We start from the raw sequence: 9,637 nt of genomic DNA on the forward strand, positions 1-9,637 counted from the left end.
CATTGCAGTGTCTTCAAAGACATGATTTATTAGAGACAGATCAAATTTTGGCCTGATTTCTACTTCTCTACAAAATTATAATCTTTATCAGCACCTTACTTTTGACATGAACAACAGATATTTTCTCAACATTCCCAAAATGTTGTATCAAAGCAAAAACTGCCCTCCACAAGGTTAAAAAAAAAAACCAAAAAAACAAAAAAAACAAAGATTTTATTCAAGGATGTTATGATAGGAGACTGAGGCCAGAATTCTTTCTGAATTCAACTGCACTAAAACAAAAGGCTGGAGGGTTTTTCAAGAGATGGGGTGGGGGGATTATAGGCTCTCTGTGTTTGCTAATTGGCTTTACTCAGAGTAAAAGTAAACTTTCTTATATTTTCGTGAAAGGAAGTAGTTTTACAACTTGGAGCAAGGCACTTCACTGAAATCAGGCACTTATCCTTCCATAGAAAGTGAGAAACAAAGACCTTGTCTTCCTGAATGTTTACATTTTAATGGGTTGGTTCACAAGTTCTCAAGAAAGACTTCCCTAGTGGTAAATGTGGCCAGAGGCTTTTTAAAGTTTTACATCTGAAAGGGGCAGAGAAACAATTTGCAATTATATGCTTTCTCCAGGAGATGCTCTAAGTAAAAGGAAGTTAGGGTCCTAGAGGCAGGAAAACTACCTGTCTGAAGTTTGAAGTTTCTTGAAGTTAAAGGAAACTCTAAGATCCTCTTTGGTCATTAGGCAAATATAACTTTTGAAGAAATCAGCAGGCCAACCTCTTCAATTCTATTATTGTTAATATATACCACCTAAATAGAAATTCTAGGGTCCCCGTGTTTTAATCTTCATTGTTAGATTAACAATTTCCTCTAGCTGGGTGTGGCAGCTCACACCTATAATCCCAGCTCTTAGGGAGGCAGAGGGGGGAGGATAGCCTGAGCCTAGGAGTTCGAGACCTGCCTGGCAATATAGTTAGATCCCATTCTCCACAAAAAGGAAAAAAAAAAGACAAAAAAATAAGTGTAACAATTTCCTCTAGTATGTTCATCCATAGTCATTTACTGTGTAATATTATGTAAGTATTACATTGGATTGAGTAAGGGAGATATTGAAATAGAAATCAAATATTAAACTGGAAATCATAGTAACAGAATAATTAAGTAATGTGAATCATAGTATTTCATCCTCTTACTTTCCCTTTACATCACATTAGCCTGGGAGCTTCTCAGAAACCTTATGGTTCAGAGGATCACACAATGAGGAAATGTCAGCTTCAAATTTTATCTCTAATGCAGGACTGGTAACACAAATTTTGGGGCCCTGTGCAAAAACAAATGTGACCCCTTGTTCAAATATTATTTAGAATTTTAAGCTAGCAACAATGGAGCGTTGAACTAAGAATGAGGCTCTTCTGCACAAAAACAATGCAAGTTTTATGGGCATAAAGTTGGTCTTTCTCAAGTGCTAATTTTCCCTTAAGAATATTTGTATAATCCTGTTGGGGTTCTGAAAATGATATCTTATATGATACTTTGGCATGCTGAACACTTTAAACTAAAATAGCAAGGCTTTAAAAGCTGTCTCAGAATCAAAGACTTTCAAATCTCTTGTTTCTCCTTCCCCACCCCACATCACTCCTTCAAGCACAAAGGGACTCCTGGAATTTTCTTATCTGACTAAAAAATTTTATTCTAAAAAAATGCAATTGTCTTAAGGTCCTCTCCCTAAGAATCTCATCAAATAACCAAGAAAGATTAACCGCTGATGAAGAGACTAAAAGTTTGTCACCACCCACAGACAGACTTTCCATCTATTCTTCTGAGGGCAACTCTGAGAGATTACCTGGGAGACTTTATTTGCCTAATAAGACAATCTCCTTTGTTCACAGGGAAGTTCTGTCCCTCACCTACTTGCTGCCTCCCCCGGAGCTCAGGGGAATTTTGTCCCAGGCCATAGCTCATGGGGCTTCTTCATTTCTCCTGAAAGTCATTTACTACCCCTTATAATTACCGATATCCATCCCCCCGAAAAATCTTTCCTCTCCTCTATAAAGAAGGGATTTAAACCTCAACCATCTGGCACTTCTTTATATTTACATTACATATATTGAGACTGATATGTGTGAGACTCCTGTGTTCATATCGGAACTGCCACTGCAAAATTATAACTGAGACAGTGAAAGAAATCTGACCTAACCAACTCCATCTTGCTTCTAACTTCCAAGCTGTCCCTGTTCATTCCTGGGCATAGGCTGAACTAACCTTGGGAGAAACTTAGTTTATAGTTTAGAACAAAGACAATAAGAGCCCTTTTCCAAAACAAACCCCCTTCTTGCGTGGGGACTGGACTGCCTTTGTAGGACTAACAAATTAGCCAAAAGATTAGAAATGATGGTTTAGGAGTCATGGAGCTAGAGGTTACAAGATTCTGACCCCGCCAAAATTGTTCCTGGGGATAACATCACTATCGTAAATCCTAAGATCGGTGCTTGAGATATTTTGCAGACCCTGCACTGGATGGATCAGCTGGCACCACACAAATTGATAAACTGGCTCATTTGACCTGTGGCCCACACCCAGGAACTGACTCAGTACAAGACAGCTTTGACTACCTATGATTTTTTTTTTTTTTTTTTTTTTTTTTTTTTTTTTTTTTTTTTTTTGAGACAGAGTCTCTCTCTGTTACCCAGGCTGGAGTGCAGTGGCGAGATCTTGGCTCACTGCAACTTCCACATCATGAATTCAACCGATTCTCTTGTCTCAGCCTCCAGAGTAGCTGGGATTACAGGCATGCACCACCACGTCCGGCTAGCATTTTTTGTATTTTTAGTAGAGAAGGGGTTTCACGACGTTGTTCAGACTAGTCTCAAACTCCTGACCTCAGGTGATCCACTTGCCTCAGCCTCCCAAAGTGCTGGGATTACAGGCTTGAGCCACTGTGCCCAGCCTGACTCCCTATGATTTTATCTCTGACCCAACCAATCAGCACATCTTACTCACTGGCTGCCCTATCCACCAACAAAATTATCCTTAAAAATTCTCATCCCCAAATGCTCTGAGAGACTGATTTGAGTAATAATAAACCTCCGGTCTCCCGCACAGTCAGCTCTGCATGAGTTACACTTTCTCTATTGCAATTCCCCTGTCTTAATAAATTGTCTCTGTCTAGGCAGCCGGCAAGGTGAACCCACTGGGCAGTTACAATATACACATTAATACATACGTATACCTTTCCTCCTATTAATCTGTCTCTTGTCAATCTTTCTAGTGAACCCTTCAGAGAGGACAGAAGGGAAGCTTTCCTGCCACCCCTACAATCCTTATGCAGATTGACTACCAACCTTATAAAGTCTCATAGAAGTTTGTTCTTTTGTTTCATCATGTGTTATAACAATTTGTAATTACTTTCTATTTTCCTTATTAATTGAATACCATTTGAGAGCAGAGTAAATGTCATATTTATTTCTCTTACTTGTTCAACAGTCTGTTTTTTTTTCTTTTTTTTTTTTTGAGCTGACATTTCACTCTTGTTGCCCAGTCTGGAGTGCAATGACACGATCTCTGCTCACTGCAACCCCTGCCTCCCGGGTTCAAGCAATTCTCCTGCCTCAGCCTCCTGAGTAGCTGGGATTACAGGTGTGTGCCACCATGCCTCCCTCATTTTTTGTATTTTTAATAGAAACCTGGTTTCACCATGTTAGCCAGGCTGGTCTCAAACTCCTGATCTCAGGTGATCTGCTCACCTCAGCCTCCCAAAGTGCTAGGATTACAGCTGTGAGCCACCACACCTGGCCTTGTTTTTATTTAAAATTTAAAAATAAGTAGCACATCATATGATTCACAAAACACAATAACGTAAGAAAGGTATGTATTGCAAAGTCTTGGTTTCACCCTGCCCAATCCACTTGTTTCTAACTCATTCCCTACCTCCATAGATAACCATTTTATTAGTTTGTGGGTGTATCCTTCTGTAGACTCTTTAAGCAAATGTGAGGGACATGTGAATATGTGTTTTTACCTCCCTTTTTTCTTACATAAAAGTAATGTATTTTATGCACATAAAAATATTAATTAACAGATTGTTCTGAACTTACCTTTTTCAGTTACACATATATATTGAAGAATGTTTCATATCCTACTAGAGAATTTCCTCTGTGCCATAATTTTTTTAATCTGTTATAGATGGCTAGATATTTAAATTATTTCCAATTTCTTGCTATTACAATGTAGCAATAAGTATATTTATAGATAGACAATTTCATTTATTAATGCATATTTGTAAAATAAATTCTTTCCTATGCTTTTCAAAGTCTGTTTTTCATCTTGTCCTCTTTTAATTCAGACTTAATTTCTGATACAGCTTTGAGTTTTTAAAAAATTATTTTTCAAAAATTTAAACATTTTCCCCTAATATTATCTGTGTGTATCACCCGTAAGGGTTTGCATTTCTGTTTTGAGGGCTTATTTCTTAGTAATAATTTCAGTAAGGTATTTTGTTTTGTTTTTAAATCAGATTGGAATATTTGGCTTATGCTTTTGTATGCCTTTCAAATGAAATATTCTTGTAGTGAGTTTTATATTTATTCATTGTTTGGATGCTACTTATTCACATTTTTCTTATAGTATGTCTTTAGGTGTATTGGTTCTCTTTTTGATATATATGTTTAAATATATTAAAAGTTCCTGGATTATATATGGATACAAGTTTCCATTAAAAGGGTGCAGGGGCCGTGGACTTTATTAGGTATCTCTATTCAAGTCTTCCTCTTCTTTTGCTATAATGACATATTTTTCATTAAAAAATGGTTGTTCTGTGTGACTACGTCACTTTTTCTATCACTCAGGATCTAATCTTGATTAGAAGACCTTTTATTATTAACCATAAATTTTCTGAAGCCCTGGGATAACATGGGAAATGCCCCCTGTTTTTAAAATGCTCTATTACTTAAAAAAAAAAAAAATCTTTCTGCCATAGGACCAATCTTGGACCCGCAAGTTTCCCAACTCTTTTTCCTCAACTTCTATATCCCCAGTGACTGAAAACTATTGTATGGTACAAAAAGTACAAACGAGAGCTCAAAGATGGGCTTTGATACCTAAGGAAAATTAACCACAGCATTTAGTAAAACATAGCTAATCCTGGAGATCAGATTTTGTGTAACTGTAGTAAGAAGATGGACAGTGTGGAAAAAGCATTGGAAAAGGAATAGAAGTGTGGAACATGTGGCTTTCATTTAAGAATGAAAAAAACGGGAAGAAAGGAAGGATTTTTCCTTTCCGCCACCTGGTGCATGATGAAACTGAATAAATATTTGTTAAACAAAATTTATTTAGGGCATATTTTAGCATGTAGGACATTTTTAAAAATATGTCCAAAAATTAATAAAATCACCTTTGAAGACTTGACTCAGGAACTTTATTTTTATGTAATTTTCCTCTTCTGACATTGCCATTTTGTTCATACTTTTTTTTTTCTTTCTGAGACAGGGTCTTACTCTGTAACCCAGGCTGGAGTGCAGTGGCGCAATCTTGGTTCACTGCAAACTCTGCCTCCTTGGTTAAGCAATTCTTGTGCCTCAGCCTCCCGAGTAGCTGGGACTACAGTTGAGTGCCACCACCCCTGGTTAATTTTAGTATATTTTGTAGAGACGGGGTTTTTGTCTTGTTGCCTAGGCTGGTCTTGAACTCCTGAGCTCAAGGGATCCACCCGCCTTGGCCTACCAAAGTGCTGGGATTACAGCAGTGAGCCACCGCACCCAGCCTCTTTCTTAACTATGCTCTGAACATATATTACTAAAACAAACCTAGTAGTTTCTTGATCTAGAAAACTCTGACCTATCTAACACTCCGCCTTTGTATAGACATATTTTGTTGTTTGTCTTCCAAAATCAGGCCCTTTTGTATAAAAATCCCAACTAAGGGGTTGAAAGAAGTAGACAGGAGCTCATTTTCATTAGAAGACATATTTTAAAAGCATCTAAAGGCAAAGTTATATGAATATGATTAATCTCCGTAATGTTGTATATAATCTACAATTGGTCAATACCATACATTATAAGAATATCTTCATATTCCCCTTCTACAATTATGGTATCTCTATCCTCAGTACCATTTAGTGGAAAAATAGAAAATAATAGTAACCACAAAAATAAAATTTAAACTCACAGAAGTATAATTTATCATTTGGATAGATTCGATAAGCAACCAAAGTTTAATCGGCTAAGAATCTATATTTATAGTATCTCCTTTTGACCTCTGGTTGCATGGAAGAGTTCTCATCCAATCCTGTTGATATGTTATTTTGAAGTTAGAGAGCAGCTAAGCAGTGAAGTATGGGGCCCTACAATGGAGTAGAACTTCCACATGAAACTGTGGAAGAATAGATGGTCTTATCGAGAAAGATGGTTCTGCCCGTGAGTTGATGGTGAAATCAGGCTGAAAGCAAAAAAGCCAAACATTGATACAAATAAATGAATATTAAAAATGGAAACAACCAGGCCAGGCCTGGTGGCTCATGCCTGTAATTCCAGCACTTTAGGAGGCTGAGGGAGGCAGATCGCTTGAGCTCAGGAGTTTGAGACCAGCCTGGGCAACATGTAGTAACCTCGTCTCTACAAAAAAAAAAAAAAAAAAAAGTCCCAGCTTCTAGGGAGGCTGAGGTGGGAGGATCGCTTGAGCCCAGGAGGTTGAGGCTGCAGTGAGCCATGAGTGTGCCCCTGTACTCCAGCCTGGGAGACAGAGCAGAATCCCGTGTCAAAAAAACAAAAAAAAAAAAAAAAAAAGAAACAACCATACCAAATGTTAATTATGCTAATATGGGTTTTAATGTCTCCAATTTATAAATAAGGAAATTTAAGTCCAAGTGTTTCATTTAAGATCACACAGCAAGAAAATGACAGAAAAAGGACTTAGGGCTGTGTTAGTCCACTTTTGTGTCACTATAAAGGAATACCTGAGACTGAGTAATTTATAAAGAAAAGAGGTTTATTTTGGCTCACATTTCTGCAGGCTGTACAGGAAGCCTGGAGCTGGCTTCTTCTTCTGGTGAGGTCTCAGGAAGCTTATAATCATGGCAGAAGGTAAAGGGAAAGCAGGAGATATCACATGGTGAGAGTGGGAGCAAGAGAGATGGAGCAAGAGAGAATGAGGGGGCAGGAGCTACACTCCTTTAAACAACCAGATCTCATGTGAACTCTCTGAGAACTCACTCATTGCTGTGAGGAGGGCACCAAGCCATTCATGAAAGATACTCCCCTAAGACCCAAACACTACTCTACATGCCGAGTCTCCAACACCAGGAATTACATTTCAACATGAGATTTGGAGGGGACAAGCCTCCAACCTACATCATTGTCCATCTACTCAGGTACTTTGCATGTCAAAATCCAAACTTCTTTGCCACATGGGCTCTCTACTAACAGGCTCTAGAATAAGCAAATTTGGACCACAACAACAACAACAAAAAAGCTGGGAGATTCTATTATATGTAATGTTTTGTGAAAAACACATAATGAGGTTCGGAGAGCGTAAAGAACTAGGTCCAGCTAGATTTCAAAATTCCATGTCCAAAAATGAAGTCAACATAGTTCCTCAAACATTTATGTTTGCTATATGTTCCTTTTCTCATGAGAAATACTGGCAGCTCCCCTACTTCAGAAACAAAAACTAAGAAGTTGCCCCTGAGTTTTCCCTCATGTATGTTATGCATTATAAGTATCATCAAACTCTATGTTCCAACATCCTGTAGAAATCTCAAGCCTGGACACTTCTCGTGATTACCACTGTAGTACACTATTTAAGCAAATCATCATGTCTGGATTACTACAATAGCATCTCAGATGCCTCTCCCTCCCTCCCTCCTGACTTGGGTATTTCCAGGCTCAACCAATTCCATATCCTAGATTGAAGATAATTTTTTAAGGCTAGTCTTACCATGTGACTCTCCTGTTTATAATCTTTATCAATTCCTTTCAGGATAAGATCCAAATGATATAATGTATAATTAGGAAACAGTATATCTCAAATTTCTCTGATGTAGGTAAGAAAGTATATCCAAGGGTTGACCAGTGGGTGGAGATGACCAGTTCAGATTTGGACATTTATAATTTGAAGTGCTTATGGGATATCCAGTTGGAGATGTCCAGGTGTGTGTGTGTGTGTGTGTGTGTGTGTGTGTGTGTGTGTGCGTGTGTGTGTCTGTTTTAACTGGCCTTTCAAACAAGAAAGAAACCAAGCAAATTTATTCAAAATAAAATACTAGTAACACTTATCACCCATTGCAGGAGCATTTCTTTGCATTAAATAACATGAGGGAAATATTAATTCATACACATAAAGGAATTTCAAAACATAGCACCTCAAGCACAATAGAATTGAGTTGGAAAGGTATTTTTAAAGGGTAGGCCTTGGCCCTTCTAATCATGCTGCTTACGTATTTTATACATGCGGTAAAAGGCACTGGTTTCAGAGAAGCTACTGTAAAATCCACCATGGCCGAAACATGCAAATCAGCACAGAATGTTTGCTGGAGGGTAAGTCAGAGCAATGCCATTGAAGTAGCCTCTATATGCATGTCTCATTGGTGACATCTTGATCTCCATTAATCAATTCCTATTTGAGATAAATGCATCTGCTTGTATCTCAAAAGACTAGATTCACGGAACCGTGACTAAGATATTTCATAGATGCTCTCCAAGGACTTTAAAAGGCAAAACGACAGGAAATTTACTAAATCCATACAGCTAACCTGAAGAAAAGGTTAAGCAAAATTCAGAAGCTTCTCAATCTTCTTTTATAGTCTGAAAATTTTAATAAATGATGCCCTAAATTTGTCCAAAAATTTCTAGAGATATGATTTATTACATGATGTCTGTATTAAATGAGACTTCTAAAAGGTGCTAATTTCTGTTTTAGAAAATAATATATAGCACAATTTCATTCCTCCATTGAACAGACCCCTCTAAATATTTAAAAAGCAGAGATTCTCTGTTTAGGAAGAACTGAACAAAAAATATCTGAGAAAATAAGAGAAAAATGCTAGGATTTTTATATAGAATGAAGCACTACAGAATTTTGCTTACAATTATGCATAGAGCTCCTAAGGGCTACAGATGACATCTTTACCTCAAATTGTTTCTCTCCTAAATCATTGATAATAGAAGCCCCAGGCATTGTGGATTAAACTCTGAAGCTCACTGCACATAAACTCGAAGGGGTATTATTTTCATGGTTCAGTTAACAAAAGAAGTGAAACTCACACCATTATTTGACTTGCTTAAAATTACCCTTTTTGTATTTTAAGCTCTCCTATCCCATATATTTGCAATTATTTGGCCCTTAGCACTCTCTTTGAAACTCTTCTCCTCTGCCTATTTCTCTTCTTGTTCCTGATGACATTTTTTACTCCATAGCTTCTAGCTATCCCTCAACCACAAAGGTAGTTGAAGCAACATCCAAAAATACCAGCTCCCAGGAGCTGTTAGTTCTGTGCTTGGAGTATAAAATGGGTCTCAGGCCTGGGTAATAACTGAATTCATGAATCTCAATTCCCAGATGACATTAATAGCAGCATAGAGCAGGAAGCAGAGTTATGTTAATTTCCGCAGGTAATGCGTGAAAGCAGATAGGGAAAGCTTGAAAGGTCAACATC

At 37.6% G+C, this 9,637-nt stretch overlaps 1 annotated feature.

The window, feature by feature from the left end:
- Nucleotides 206-908: an enhancer, noted in NCBI's record as "NANOG hESC enhancer chr14:28590607-28591309 (GRCh37/hg19 assembly coordinates)". NCBI's record gives its function as "activates a minimal SCP1, AML or CMV promoter by ChIP-STARR-seq in naive H9 embryonic stem cells {active_cell/tissue: H9 hESC(naive)}" and the evidence as "EXISTENCE:reporter gene assay evidence [ECO:0000049][PMID:30033119]".

The sequence above is a fragment of the Homo sapiens genome, chromosome 14, assembly GCF_000001405.40.
Source record: "Homo sapiens chromosome 14, GRCh38.p14 Primary Assembly".
Classification (NCBI taxonomy): domain Eukaryota; kingdom Metazoa; phylum Chordata; class Mammalia; order Primates; family Hominidae; genus Homo; species Homo sapiens.